The 16,473-nt window shown below is 34.5% G+C and overlaps 1 pseudogene, besides 1 other annotated feature; it reads right to left on the reverse strand.

The window, feature by feature from the left end:
* Positions 5,501 to 5,701: a silencer, noted in NCBI's record as "peak1141 fragment used in MPRA reporter construct". NCBI's record gives its function as "represses an SCP1 promoter by STARR-seq MPRAs in K562 erythroleukemia cells {active_cell/tissue: K562}" and the evidence as "EXISTENCE:reporter gene assay evidence [ECO:0000049][PMID:32103011]".
* Positions 13,511 to 16,093, reverse strand: SEPTIN14P11 (septin 14 pseudogene 11; annotated as a pseudogene).

Genomic DNA, 16,473 nt, shown 5'->3' on the forward strand with positions numbered 1-16,473 from the left:
GAATTAAATATTTATTTTCTTAGTTCAGAAGAGGAAAAAAACTCTTGTAATTGTTGCCCATTTCAGGAGAAATCTTGCATATGAAAACAAGAGATAAATATACACAACTGAGGGCTGTGGTTTAAACAAAATCTTGAGAATGTTTTTTGACCTTATACATTTGTGCTTTAGTATAACAAAATGATATAGACAAAGGTAACTTTTAATAGAACCAGTCACTAAATTAAAAAAATGACAAATTCTTCTGCTTAGCTAAGCAACAGAGAAGGTAAAATACTAATTCAATTCATCAATTTAAGCAATACTCATTAAGAGCCAAGTATGTGCTTACTGAATAAGCTGCTAAGGTTTGGTGGTTACAGAGTGTGCGGTGAAATGATGTCTACATCACAGTCCAACATTCACAGAGTTTAAAAGCCTACCAAGAATCAAGACAGACACAAATACCTAACATAGACGTTTGTATATGATAAGAGAGCCAGAGTACAATTTAGGAGAAGAAATTGTATGGAAGGAAGGTTCATTTCCATTAGACCAGAAAAGACAGCACATTTGAAGGCCTGAATAAGAAATATTCTGGATAAGATATTGTGGCTGCTACCAGAATGGCTCTTGATGATCTCTACCTCTTGGTATTTATACCCTTATATAATCTCTTTCCTATAGTGTAAGCTGGTCCCAGGTACTTGTTTCTATTGAATAGAATAGAACAAAAGAAATGAGATGCCACTTCTGAGATTAGATTATAAGATACTGTGAATTTCATCTTGTGCCCTCTCCCTCTCTCTCTTTCTCTTGCCCTCTCATTTGAATGAAGCCAACTGGCATGCTGTCAGTGGCCCAGTGTAAGTCCTGTTACAAGAAATTGATGATTACCTGTAGCCAACCCTAAGTGAAGAACTGAGGTCCTCAGTCCTACAAATGGAGAGAAACTGAATCTAGCTAAGAACCATGTGAGTGAGCTGGGAAGAAGATCCACCCTCAGTTGAAATTTAAGATGACATATTGAGCAGACATACTGAGACACACTGAAAGTAAGAGAGCAGGAGGAAACAAAACCAGGGTCATACAAAGAACACAACTGATTTTGAGATTCTCACATAAGTATTACACCTTCAGTGAGCACGTGTACTAGAAATTTAAAAAATAAATAAAATAAACCTTCAAAGTGAGCTAGCAAATAAATTTCCCTATGGTCTCAGCTCTGAGTGGAGAGAGAAAATGTTCCCTGTGGAGTTTATAGCCAGAATCCAGCTCTCAAACAGGTTTCAGCCTGAACTCACACAATCTGTGTGGCTTCCAAATTTGCAAGCTGAGAATTTAATTCAAAGTGGTCTCAGGTTGATAGCAGTCCAAAATGCTAGGTAGGAAAAAAAATCCTCTCTGGACAAATAAATCATCAAAGCAAGCTCATAAGAGCAGGTTTCAAAGGTCATGAGATTCTAACACACACACAAAAATCACACACACAAAATGGGGGTAGCAGCAACATGGGTAGCATATTCAAACTTGAAAAGACTTTAAATATTTGTATTATTAGATGTAGATTATGAAACACATATTTTAATGTGGTTAATTTTTTTAAGGAATCAAAACTATGAGTAAAGACCAAGAAAATTGTGCTGGATGGCCACTTCCACCATGGCTCCCCTCCTATTTAAGTCTGGGTACTGTGTCACCCGAAGTCTTCAGGCACATTGTTCCAGGTCTGGGTTTGCCTATGAAAGAAACTCATGAGAGCTGGAAATGAGGAGTGAAGAGGAGGTCTTCAAATAAAGCAGGCTTAAGGATTAGACATAGCAGGTTTGACAGATGTGATGGCTTGCAGAATCCTTTATGAGCTCCCACTGTCCATCTGGATAAGATTTACAGACCTTTCAGAAATTCCTATAAGCTTGGGTTCTGTGCCCACACTCTAGACTGTCAGGCTAAGATCTCTGATATAAAACAGACCTCTTCTGATTTTGTCTAGCTGCTTTTCTAATATCTATTCACCAAGCTCTTCCAATAATAGCATAAGGCCCTAATTAATATTAAACTTTTATCATTATAATACATAGGATGTCTTCTGTTTTCCTGATCAAATTCTGACTACTATTAAAATATAAAGAATTGTCCAGAAATATATAAAAAAAGAATCACACATTGATCTTCTTTAAATGAAAATATAACAATTGTATGGACTAGGATGATTACAGTTGTTCAGTTCTGACTGTTATTTGAAGAAAAAAGCAATAAGAAGCCTCAGCAACTTAACAGAAGGAGCTGCCATTTACTAGGAGAAAAGATTGTGGATGAGAGTGTAGCAAAGGTCAGAATTCTGTGAAGCTTGAGATGTTTATTATAATGAATTATCTTTTATACTCACTACAATTTCCTAACAATTTTGGGGTTTATATTTTTGAAAGAGATATACCTTTAATTTTCTTTCTTTGTACTATTGTTAGGTAACTTTGATGTGCAGATTATACTACAGTGAAAGTTGCCAATGACAAGGCAAAGTCACTTACATCAGACCCAAAGCAAAGTGGAGCCGGGTCATGAAAAAGGGGATCTTGTGTGTCTGTCCACGATAAGCACTATCACAAGGACTTTCTATAAACTCACAAGAAATTTCTGCCCACCCAGCACACTCTGTTTGTCCAGCTCATACTGTAGGTGTCTCTATAATAGGACCTATCATAAAAAATTCCTCAAGACTGCAGCATTTCAGATAAGCCACCCTCACAAGAACACTTGCCTAGCAATGGCTGTTTCTGCCAGTAAGTTAACACCAGCTCCTGCATCAGATCCTGTGACCAATGATGTTTGTTTCAAAACAGCTTGCATGGACTTCTTTTTGTCTTTACATATTTTCCTTACCTCAACCTCTTGGGATGCACCTATGATTGATCATAGCACAAATATCTCAGATTATAATCCTTGTTTATTTCCAAATAAATTTATTTCTTTGGAGATCCACTTTTTCTGTTATTATACATTGACATTGTTATTATGAAATTGGTTGGGTGATGTGTCTTATTTTCTTGTCTCCAGAAGAATTTCTGTAACAGTGCAATTAAACGTTCTTTGCATGTTTGCTAGAACTCACCTGTAAAATTGTCTGAGCAACCAAAGCCTGGTTTTTGTGTTTAGTTTTTCTTTTGTGATTGGGGAGGGGGGTTTATCGTACTGATTCAAGGTGTGAAGGTAACATCATTTTGATTTTATACATCTTCTTCAGTCCATTTAAGCATGTTACATAGCGTTGTTTGTTCTTTTCATGATATTCTTTACAGTAGTCTCCTAAATGTTCCCTCTGCTTCTGCCATGAGCCCCTACAATCTATTTCAACTCAGAAGCTATAGAGTTTGTTTAAAACATGTAACATATTATGCCACCTTTCTTACTGTAAAACATCCCATGGTTTCTCGTAGTATTTATAGTAAAAGTGAAATTTTTATGATGGCTTGAGAAACTTTTCCCATTAGATGCCCAAGTGCTGGTCTGGTCTGATCTTCTCATCTTCCCTTGGGTGATTCTGTGGCAGTCACACTAGCCTCCTTGCTGCTCCACAAAAACTCCAGCATGATCCTACTTCAGGATATTTGCCATTGTTACTGCATCTGCCTGGAACCTTTTCTCCCATATAAACATAGAGATTGCTCTTGCCTGTCCTTCAAGTCTATTCTTAAATGTCCCATTCTCTGTGAAGCTTTCCTGCCCACCCTATTTAAATTACAGACTTCACTCCCAATTCCCCATCTACTTTAAGAGTCTTCCTTTATCATTCCTTGACAAACTGTAAATATACATGTTCACTTTTTTATCGTCTGTCTCCAAATACTGGAATGTTAAGTTCTGTAATGTCAGATATTTCTGTTTGGTTCACTGGTGTATTCTTAAAGCATGTTACATACTAGGTATACTCAATGAATATTTGTTGAATAAATATCACATTGGGCTTATTCCAGAAATTCAAGCTTGTTTCAATAGTTAGAGCAATCTACAAATGTAATTCATTACATTAACTAATTAAAGGAGCTAAATCACATCACCACCACAATAATGCAGAAAACCACATTTGATACAACTCAATATTCATGTCTGCCTAACAAACATCTCATGATACTAGGAAAAGAGGAAGGGATATATTATTTTCATGTATAAAGCACTAACCATTGTAGCATGCCAATATACTCAAAATTCAATGAAATTCCTATCAAAATCTTAGCATTCCTCTTAGTCCTCAACAAAGCATTTCTAAAATGTGTATAGAAGACCAAAGGGCCAAAAGAGTCAACTTCTGAAGAAGCGCAAAAAGAAAGTTGAGGAAATCTTAAAACATGTTATTGAGCTTAAAGTTGCAAAAATAAACTCATGTACCATAATTGATGAGTAGAAAAATAGACTAGTGGAATAACATAAAAATAAAAACAATGCTTACATAAAATGTTGTAACTGATTTGGATGTCATTAGAAATCAGTAAGTAAATAGATGGACAATGTAATGAAAGATGCTAGGCAAATAATGTGGTAGGGAGAATAATGGCCCTCAAAGATGCCCATGCCTAACCCTGGAACCTGTGAATATGTTACACTGAATGCAATAAAGGCTTATCAGATGTGATTAAGGATGCAAACTGAGATGGAGAGATCTTCCTGGGTTACCCAGATGGGCCCAGTCTAATCACATGAGTTCTTAAAAATGGAGAACCTTTCTTAGCTGAGTCCAGAGAGAGATGTGACAATGAAAGAATGGTCAGAGAAATGTGACATTGCCAGCTTTAAAAAGAGAGAGGAGAGGCAATGAGAAAAGGAATGCTGATGTTCTCTAGAAGATAGAAAAGGCCAGGATATGGATTCTACCCTAGCCGCCATAAAGAAACATGACTGTCGACAACTTGATTTTAGTTCACTAAAATTCATGCCTGATTTCTGACTTGTGTACACTGTAAGATGACAAGTTTGTGTTATTTTAGGTCACTTAGTTTGTAGAAATTTGTTACAGCAGTAATAGAACAAGTGGTTATCCATATGAGGCAAATTAGATTGGATACCTATCTCCAATAGAAATCAATTCAAGGTGAATTCCAGGAAAATACTTAAAACATTTAGATTAAAAATAAATGAGAATTTTTGTTACTTTTTGTAGGTCATAGAACCAAGAAAAACAAACATTAAGGAGGAAAAATGAACATATGACTACATCAAAATATAAAGCTTCTCTATTTGGATGATATCATAAGGTGACAAATCATAAACTGTAATATTTACAACATATATATAAGTGAATAAATATACATTTAGAATATATATGAACTCCCAAAAATCAACAGGAAAAATAAGACATAGAACAAGCAAAATGCATAAACAAAAGAAGGCAAAACAAAAATAATGACTCATAATTATATGAAAAGAAGCTCATCTTCATAGATGAGCAGATAAATGCAAATTAAAACCACCCTGAGATGCTTTTTACATCCATGAGCCTGATAAAAGTTAGAGTCTAAAAGTAATAATTAACAAAGATGGGAAGTAACAGAAAATCTTGTCCATTACTGGTTAAAGTATAAACTGATACAGCTACTTTACAGAATATTACATTATAGAATAAAGTTGTGAGTATGTATATGCAGTGACTCAGCATATTCATTGCTAGTATGTACTCAAGAGAAACTTACAGGAGTGGCCTAGGAAGTAAATACAAAATGATTACAACATTGTTTGTTATATCAAAAAATAAAAAAGACACCCAATTTTCCAGCAAAAAAAATAAGTAAAAATAAATCCTGGTGTATTCTAACAATGGAATAATATATAGCCATTAAAATAAATCAACTATTACTGTACATATGAATGTAAGTATCAGCAAAACATATTGTTTAGTGAAAAACTAAGAAGCTGAAGAAGAATATATACAATATGGTTACATTTATATGAAGTCCAAAAACTTGCAAAATAAAGAAATGTATTTAGAAATAGATTCACATGTGAGAAAACTAGAAGAAAATTAATGAAAGGATAAGAGGGATAGCAGTAATTCTGAGTAGTTGAGGGAATTTCAATTGGAAAAAAATAATATCATATTCTTTAAGTCAGGTAGTGGGTATTAGCATTTGTTTTACCATCGTTCTTTATTCTTATAGCTACACTATATATTTTCAATGTATTTAATGTATTTTTTGCATAATTAAATATTATGCAATAAAAATGAGAAAACAAAAAAGTAGAAAATGATAAATTACAATAAAGAAATGGAGAAAAAATTATAATCTAGTTGAGTAATGGTATATTACATAGCTATTTTCTTAAGTAGATGTATGTACATGATGTATGCACGATTGTACATACATGTTCTTAATTATATATAAATATATATGTACATATTTTTAATATAAAATACTAAACAAAGTACACCAAAATATTAGCTCCTATGTTAGTGAGATAATGTTTTGTTTTTTTGTATTTTAAGTTTTACATAGTAGGTGTATTTTTCTGTTTTCATACTGCTATAAAGAACTGCCCAAGACTGGGTAATTTATAAAGGAAAGAAGTTTAATTGGCTCACAGTTCAGCACAGCTTGGGAGGCCTCAGGAAATCTACAATCATGGCGGAAGACAAAGAGGAAGCAAGCCAGCTTCTTCGCAAGGCAGCATGAAGAAGTGCCGAGCAAAGGGGAAAGAATCCCTTATAAAACCATCAAATCTCGTGAGAACTCACTATCACAAGAACAGCACAGGGGAAACTGCCCCCATGATTCAATTACCTCCACCTGGTCTCTCCCTTGACCTGTGGGGATTATGGGGACTATGGGGATTACAATTCAAGATGAGATTCAGGTGGGGATACAAAGCCTAACCATATCAGTAGGCATGTATTGAATTTTAAACTCAGAGAAAAATACTAGTGTTTTTATAGGATTCTTACTAAAGAAAAACCAGAAAGTAATAAACCATCTACGCTAAGACATAAAATTCAGTTGTTTAGTTACAAGATAGAATGTGGCCTTGTAAGAAAGCAAATTAACTTCTAACATACAAAGCCTTAGAGAAGATTCAAGTGACTGACGGATCTTAAACAGAGCTATTATTACAACTTGAACTGCAGTAAAATATCCTCAGCAACATAGATGTGTATGTTTCACTAGTCAGAGCAATACAAATTTAATGAAACTCCATTGGTGGTGTTTTTAATCAGACAATTTCTGAAGATGTCCTGGCTTATTCACAGATGCAAGCCAAATCTCTAGAAGAGTACCATAATAAGAAAAAAAAGAATACAGGCAATTGAGAGCTGTTCCAAAGTTTAGGGAGTTTTTGTAAGGAATTAATAAATAAAAATGTTCTTGAAAGAGAGAAATTAATATGCAGTTCATACTGCCAGAATTGCAGGCAATTTATCAAAGTCCCCTAATCCTCCAAAATCGCTATTTTTTTTTTTTGACACACACTTTACAGTACAGAAGAAAATGTCTCCGGCAATAAATCACAAAGTTAAAATTACCTAGTCTACAATTAACTACACAGTGATGGTAAATCATTTTCTACCAAAAGAAAGAAATGTCTTGTCTATTCAGGTTCTGCTCTACTTAAAAGTTTTCCTTGTTGGCGAGCAAGTGGTTAGAAAATCATATTTTATACGTACATTCAGCTTAACTATCATTCAGCTCAGGAAGATGACTCAGGGCCTTATCCATACCTTCAAGTTTGCTCTTAGCAAGTAATTGTTTCAGTATCTATATCAAAAATGGCTTAAGCCTGCAACATGTTTCTGAATGATTAACAAGGTGATAGTCAGTTCTTCATTGAATCCTGGATGCTTTATTTTTCTTAATAAGAGGAATTCATATGGATCAGCTAGAAAAAAATTAAGAGGAAAATCACATGGAAAGTTATATATTATATATCTATTATATATAATATTATATATCTATTATATATTATATATTGTATATCTATTACATATATAATATTATATATGTATTATATATATTATATATTATATATCTATTATATATATAATATTATATATTATATATCATTTCCAAATTCCCCAGCGTTCATATTTGTCAGTGCAAGTAAAGAGCCTTACTGCTGATGAGGTTTGAGGTATGACCATTTGGCCAGAATTTATGAACTCTACATGTCGCTTGATGTGTGCCTCAGGGTATACTTTTTTTTTTTTTTGAGACGGAGTCTTGCTCTGTCGCCCAGGCTGGAGTGCAGCGGTGCGATCTCAGCTCACCGCAAGCTCCGTCTCCCGGGTTCATGCCATTCTCCTGCCTGAGCCTCCTGAGTAGCTGGGACTACAGGCGCCCGCCACTATGCCCTGCTAATTTTTTGTATTTTTAGTACAGACGGGGTTTCACCGTGTTAGCCAGGATGGTCTCGATCTCCTGACCTCGTGATCCACCCGCCTCGGCCTCCCAAAGTGCTGGAATTACAGGTGTGAGCCACCACGCCCGGCCAGGGTACACTTTTAAGCAGAGACACTACTTTGAAGGTCATAAAAAATATAATAAGAGATAAGGCTAATTTCCTTTAATAATAATAAAATCCTTTAATAAAAATATAAAGGAATAATATAATAATTTTCTTTAATAAAATATAATAAGAGATAAGGCTAATTTCCTTTAATAAAATATAGTAACTACATACCAACAGAATTCCAAAAAAAGAAATGGAGAGGAAGGGAGCATGGGTCATTAATCTTGTCAAAAATATAAAATTATATACGAGGAATTCCTAGAAACTGTTTTCCTTGTCTGCGGCCATTGTGCTGCTGCTACACAACTACCGCAAGCAGCCCTTCACGCCCTCCTCCCAGTACAAAGCTAATTGACTTGTGAGAAATGTTAAGCTTGGAAGAGTCAGCATCGCTGCACTTATTTTTTATTCTACTCTGACATTAGAATAATCCTTGAGTGGGGGAAAGGTTAAAAACCCCCCTGGATAAGTGTTACTAATTAATGATGATTGTTTTAAACAATGTTTGGATAATTTTTCCTTGTCCCTTGACATAAACTTGATAAATAACTGAGAAGTGAGAAGGAGATTAGTGGGTTGATTAAATTCCATTCAGGTACTTAAAGTTAGCTCCAAAAATTTAGCTATTTGTAAATTGTCATGCATTGTTAATGTATAAGAGATGTAGATTTCATTTATCTTTGGTGGAGCGAGATGAAGCAGTGAATCATTGAAGACTGAAAGAAAGAAAAAGGTCTTTTCCCTTTTCTTTAAGAAGCATCATTAGTTAAAAACATGTTAGTTGATACCAGAGAACTATATTTAAAGGGACAGCAATAAGCAAATTGATTACTCTGGTGATTATTGGAGTGACATTGCCTTTTAGTTGTACTTTCACAAAAATTCACAATATTTGCCAAAGTCAAGTTATCCATTACACTATTAATTTGTCATTCTTTTGTTTATATAGTCAATATCTCTATCTCAATTGGATCTCAACTGCTTCTAAACAAGCCACCATAGTCTCTCCCATTTCAACAATCTCTTCCAAGTACCACTTCATTTCTTCTTTTCATATTTTTGAAAACTTTTGAAAAACTACCTATTTTCCTCCTCCATTTCTTGTTCATTCCATTCTAGTGGACATGGAATCTGTTCCTCCTCCAAAACGGAATTTGGTAACCCTTAAATTACTAAACCCAAAACAATATGTTGTCTTTATCTTTACCTCTCTGTGGCATTTAATGATAAGACCACTACTTTCTTCTCTTTTACCCTTCTTTCTTGAATTCAGTCAAACAACGTACTTACATTTTTCGTCTTATTCTCCATCTTAGAAACCACCTCAGCTTTCTCCATTCAGCTATAAAATTGTGCTTTTCCTCAAAGATTAATCTGCCTCTCCTCTCACTCTATACTATCTCTGTTAGCTAATTTTATTTGTGCACATTGCTTATACTGGGCATTATATACACATATGCATGTGTGTACATGTGCACACACACACTGTATGTGGACATGTATATATATATGTGTGTGTATATATATAGTATATATATAAATTACAATAACATAAAGGTGGCATTTTAAATTAGTGGAAATTACCCTGATTTGATCACTACACATTCTATACATGTAAAGAAAATATCACTCTGTATCCCAAGAATATGTACAATTATGGTTTGTCAAATGAAAAAGTTCATACATTGAAAAATTTTAGATAAATATCAAACTTTCTCTGAAACTGTAACTGTAAAATGTAAAAAACAGTAATTGCTATATTGCTTATTTCTGAGTAGAAGAATATGAGACATTTCCCTAATCATTATGTGTAATTACAATTACATATGTAATTGTAATTACACATAATGATTAGGGAAATGTCTCATATTCTATATATATAGACAGAAAGAGAGAAAATATATGAGGGAGAGAAGGAATCTTTCCATCTCCTTTGAGTTCCACGGTGTTGAGAGTCAGGACAACTGCAATTGCTTCATCATGCCTGCTTGCAATTATAGGGCTTTTGAACCATTTGTTCCCTCCTTAGATATCCTTATTTTTTTCAGATTCTTGCTTAGAAGTCACTCCTCCGTGGACCTCCTCTGACATATTAAACATTGCAGTCCATTATAAGCTGCAAGAGGACAGGGATTTTTGCCTGTTTTATTCCCTACTGTATCACCAGGGGCTACAGCAATATCTGACAAACAGTGGGCATGTAATGAATATTTGTTAAGTGAAGTAATAAATTCAATCAAATCACATCACCTGTTTAAAGCACTTCATTGGCTTCACATTGCACTTAGAATAAAGAGAAATTCTTTTTATACAATATACAATATATTTTATACAATATAAGTTCCTGCAGAATGCAGACACTTTCTACTTCTCCAGCCTGTTTTCGACTCCTCTCCTACTAGCTTCTGTATTTAAGCCACATTAGACCTTTCTTCAGTTTTTTATATAGACTTTGTCGCATCACACCTCAGAGATTCTGTACATGTTCTTCCTCCTGCCTAGAAAGGATCGTCCCTCCACTTTCGCCAACTAATCCCTGCTCAACTTTTCATCTCAGCAGGAGGCCCATTCTCTTTGGCAATCCTCTGGCCTCCAGCCCATTTATTATATGCTCACATGTCAACATGTACTTCGTACAGCATGTAACACAATTGCACTTTTATATTTTAACAAATTATATTTCCCATATTGAACTGTAAGTCTCCTGAAAGCAGGAATTTTGTTCTTGCTCATCATCAACTTTTTCAACATCCAGTGCACCATTTAGAACTTAGATGTAGTCAATACAGGTTTGTGGAATGAAAGAGGAAAAGAAAGAATTAATATTCCTTTAAATTAGGATGGCAAAGATCGTATATAGAAAATTGGCTAAGTTGTGGTCCATTCATGTTTGCTCCCAATTAAGGAGCACAGCTATGAAAAGGAAGGCTTCAAATTAATAACCAATAGATTTTTTTAAAAAGAAAACTGGCCAGGTACTGTGGCTTATGTCTATAATATCAGCATGTTGGGAGGCCAAGGCAGGATTACTTGAGCCCAGAAATTCCAGACCAGCCTGAGAATTTGGCAAAACTCTGTCTCTACAAAAAATACAAAAATTAGCCAAGTTTGGTGGCATGTGCCTGTAGTACCAGCTACTTGGGAGGCTGAGGTGGAAGAATAGCTTGAGTCTGGGAGGTCAAGGCTGCAATGAGCTGTGATTGCACCACTGCACTCAAGCCTGGGTGGTAGAGTAAGACCCTGTCTCAAAAAAAAAAAAAAAAAGAAAAATCACTAAGCAAAATAAGACCTGTGAAGGATCATGTCAAAGGTAAGAAAAATTAGGGGAACATTAAAAGCTTTCTTCCCAAGCCACTAAATCAACTTGACTAACAAAATTACCACTTGATTTAGCATTAGAAAATTACATTACATATCAAACATAAACCCATTAATCAAATACTAAAGAAATTTCTGAGTTAAATGGTATAATGTTAGCTTATGCCAGAGCTGACCTTGAAAGATTGTTCAAATATGGCTCAGTGTGATTGAAAGTTCTGTGTGAATATGTTTTTGGAAAGATCCAACAGCAACACCTTAGTGTATGTTTTTGAAATAAAATGTATCTGAGTAGCAGCAAAGTTATTCTCAAATTTCCATTTTATAGCTGGAGATGTTATACCGTGACGTATATGATAGGACCCAATATGGATCAATCCCTTTTAGAAGTCAATCAGGAAGAGGGGAGCAGTTAAAACAGTTGCTTGGTTTACAAACATTAGAACAATTTTCTTATTCACACCATCTGATTATTGTATTTTATTTTTTCCCCAACGTTTAGACTACACAATGAGTTAAGAATGATAAAAATAAGCTCACCAATATACTATGTACATATTTAACAAAATCTGTGCATGCTTATACATATAAACACAGCTGATAATTTATTAGTTAGGCTCATTTGTAATTTTTGTCACTATAGACCAGTTTTTTATTTAAATTGAAGATTAGTATACATTTTAAATGATTAGTCAAAATAAAAAATCTAAAATGTGCTCTAAATACCTCTTAGGTCAGAAAAAAAAAGTCAAAAGCTAGAGTATAGAGAAATTAAGAAACGCCCTAAATTTCTAATCTGACAAAAATTCATACAAGATTTAAATATTTTAATGGAAAATAGAACAGAACTAATTATTGAAGAAATTATAGAAAGGAAACAAAATAAACAGATTATATGGAGGATTTTTAGAAGATAAGTAAATAAATTAATATACTAGGAAAAAACAAGGGAAATATACTTGATAAATAAATACAGGTAAGAGTTCTTTTGAAATAATGATAAAATAGAAAATCTCTGTCAAAACTAAAAGGAAAGATGCATAAATATATAAATAAATGATAAAAAATGTTGCATACATATATGACTTTTTCAGAATCAAAAAATTTAAATTTCTGTAATAAAATTTAAATGTTTATAAATTTAAAAAACTAGAAGAAAGAATGTTGACTGTTCACAATACAAATAAATGACAAATATTTGAGGTGATGGATATGCTAATTATCCTTATTTGATCATTGGGCATTGTATACATGTATCAAAATATCACTCTGTATCCCATGAATATGTACAATTATTTGTCTCAAAAACAAACAAAAAAAAGATAATGGGAGAATGTTGAAAACTCAGAGAGAAGAGCAACTCTCACAGATAGGGATCCAGATAACATTAGCAGCTGATTTCTCGGCAGAAACCTTGAAGGCCAGTAGGCAGTGGATTATATATTTAAAATAATGAAGAAACCTGTCAATTGAGAAATATATAGCTGGAAAACTTATCCTTCAAAAATGAAGGAGAAATTAAGACATTTCCGGATTTTTTTTTAAAACTGAAAAAAATCCATTTATCCCTGAATTTGACATTCAGGAAGTGTTAAGTCCTTCAGGTTGAAATAAATGAACTCTAGGCAATAACTATGTAAGTAAATAAGCAAGCTGTATGAATATACAAAGCTCTCTGGTAAAGGTAAATACATAAACAAACATAAAAACAGTCCTATTGTAATTTTGGTTTGTAACTCTGCTTTTTATTTTCTACATAATTTAAAAGGCAAATGCATAAAATGTAATTGTAAATCTGTTAGCTGGTATACAATGAATAAAGATATAATTTGTCACATCAATAACATAAAAAGAGTAGAGCTATATATATAGCAGTAGAATTTTGGTATGTGATTGAACTTAAGTTGAAATAAATTCAAATTAAAATGTTATAACTCTAGGATGTTATATGTAATTCTCATAGTAACCAAAAATGAAATATATATAGAATATAAACAAAAGGAAATGAGACTAGAAACAAAATGTGTCACTACAAAAAAATCAACTAAAGATAAAAAAGAAATAATTGAGAAAATGATTGGTAAAAATCAGTAACTCTGACGTATTAAAACTTTCCATGCTACATAAATCTGAAAACTCTATTTCACATAAAACTGGAGCTGAAAGAAACAAATATTTACCTATAAAGTTAAAAGTTATATAGGGAACAAACACTAATTTTTTTTAGAAAAAATTATAAAAAGAGTAAAAATATGCCTTATACTACCGTAATTTCATGTTTTACAGCTCTGGGAAAATAGAAAATAAAATGTTCTGTTAGCATGAATCCCTCTGTGCCCCCAAAAAACCCTATGGATTGCATCATTATTACCTAAAAAGTCTATTCTCAAATGCAGCAGAGTGATATTTTTTACAAGGTAGATATTAATTTTAGATATGGAATAATATTGGTGATTTCAATTTTATAACACTGGGTTAAGATGAAAGAATGAGAAGATAAAGGTCCCTCAGCAATATAACTCACAAACATGTTCAGAAGCAGTAAGAAGTTACATTAATTATCTTTTGAAAGTCGATAATCTACATCTTTAATGTATGCATATAGCATAGCTAATGTACTATCGCTGGGTCCATTTATTCAATGAATAATTGCCGCTATGTGTCAGACATTTTTCTAGGCCTAGGAATGGATACATAAGTGAACAAAGCAAAGATTCTGGTTCTTGTAGAGTTTCCATTAAAAGACAATTTAGTAAAACTGTTCTTCCCCCAAATTATAAAATCTGTAAGATGGTTTAACAACATGTGTAAAAGTCATTGTGGGCCAGGCACGGTGGCTCATACCAGGTGTGGTGACTCATAGCACTCTGTCACCCAGGCTGGAGTGCAGTGGCACAATCTCTGCTCACTGCAACCTCTGCCTCCTGGGTACAAGCGATTCTCCTGCCTCAGCTTTCTGAGTAGCAAGGACTACAGGTGCACACCATCACGCCTGGCTAATTTTTGTACTATTAGTACAGACGGAGTTTCACCATGTTGGCCAGGCTGGTCTCGAACTCCTGACCTCAAATGATCCGCCCACCTCGGCCTCCCAAAGTGCTGGAATTACAGATGTGAGCCACAATGCCCGGCCTTATTTTCTACAACTTTGGTAACTTTAGCATATACCCCAAATCTGTAAGACATAATATTATAATTCAAATGCAACTCATGGCTTCTCTTTGTACTCTTTCTCTAGCTTTTGAATTATTTATTCTAATACCAGTTTTAATTCTGACACAAAATCATGGGAGTTCTAATCAAAATCCAACCTTTTATCATAAAAACTATGAAGAAATTATGAGTAGAATTTAAAAAGGAAAATAGGCCTATTAATTAGATTTGTCTTTGTAGCATTTAACTCTATAATAAATAATATTTTATGCCTATGAGTCCCCAACAAAGCCTCCAGCTTCTATTTAGATATAAACTGTAAAAGTCACTACTGGATCCACAAGCAAGACTATGGTAAATAAATTTCTCCACCTAACCAGCTTCTTTTACATGATGTTACATGTTTCTTTTGTTTTTTCATTTTGGCAAATATTGATTGTCATCTTCGTGTTTGTCTATGTCCTAAGTGCTGGGATACAGAATCTGAAAAGATGGACACAGGACCTGCCTTCAAGTTCACCCCCTTTTTTTTTTTTTTTGAGATGCAGTTTTGCTCTTGTCACCCAGGCTGGAGTGTAATGGTGAGATCTCTGCTCACTGCAACCTCCACCTCCAGGGTTCAAGTGATTCTCCTGCCTCAGCCTCCCAAGTAGCTGGGATTACAGGTCCCAGCCACCACGCCTAGCTAATTTTTGTATTTTTAGTAGAGACAGCGTTTCATCATGTTGGTCAGGCTGGTCTCGAACTCCTAACCTCAGGTAGTCGACCCACCTCGGCCTCCCACAGTGCTGAGATTACAGGCATGAGCCACCACGCCCTGCTAGGAGTTCACGCTTTAGTTGGGGAAAATATACAATAAGCAAGCCAGTTTTTAAAATGAGAACTGCAATTAGAGTTAAATGCTACAAAGACAAACTCACAGGAAGATGGGATGTAGAATGATAAGGCTCTCAGAATAGTAAGAGAAACTATTGCTTCTTACGATGTTTGTCTTTCTTTGTATCGGTGCTCAGCTGAGTCTGCAGTGCTTCAGAGGCAGCTTTCATTTTATAAAAATCTATGATTTCTCCTTCCAGTTGTTTTTTCTCTTCCTCGAGCTTCCTTATCTCCTCCTGTTGAATCATTTTAAGATGCTCGAACTTGTCCTGCAGCTGTGAAACCAATGTGCAGTTGTGACACCAAAGCAGTGTGGCTGAACACCTAAAAGAATACGCTATTTTTCTGATTATCAAACAAACCCAAATCATCACAGTAGAGCACGATCTTAATAACAATCTCAAAAACTCAGGAGTAAACACTCAGATATGGAATTTTTCTTTTCTTTCTTTTTTCCTTTTATAAGATGGAGTCTCACTCTGTTGCCCAGGCTGGAGTGCACTGGTGCGATCTCAGCTCACTGCAACCTCCATCTCCCAGTTCAAGTGATTCTCCTGCCTCAGCCTCTTGAGTAGCTGGGACTATAGGCATGCACCACCACTACAGGCGTGTGCCACCACACCTGGCTAATTTTTGTATTTTTAGTAGAGATGGGGT

The sequence above is a fragment of the Homo sapiens genome, chromosome 11 (assembly GCF_000001405.40).
Source record: "Homo sapiens chromosome 11, GRCh38.p14 Primary Assembly".
Classification (NCBI taxonomy): domain Eukaryota; kingdom Metazoa; phylum Chordata; class Mammalia; order Primates; family Hominidae; genus Homo; species Homo sapiens.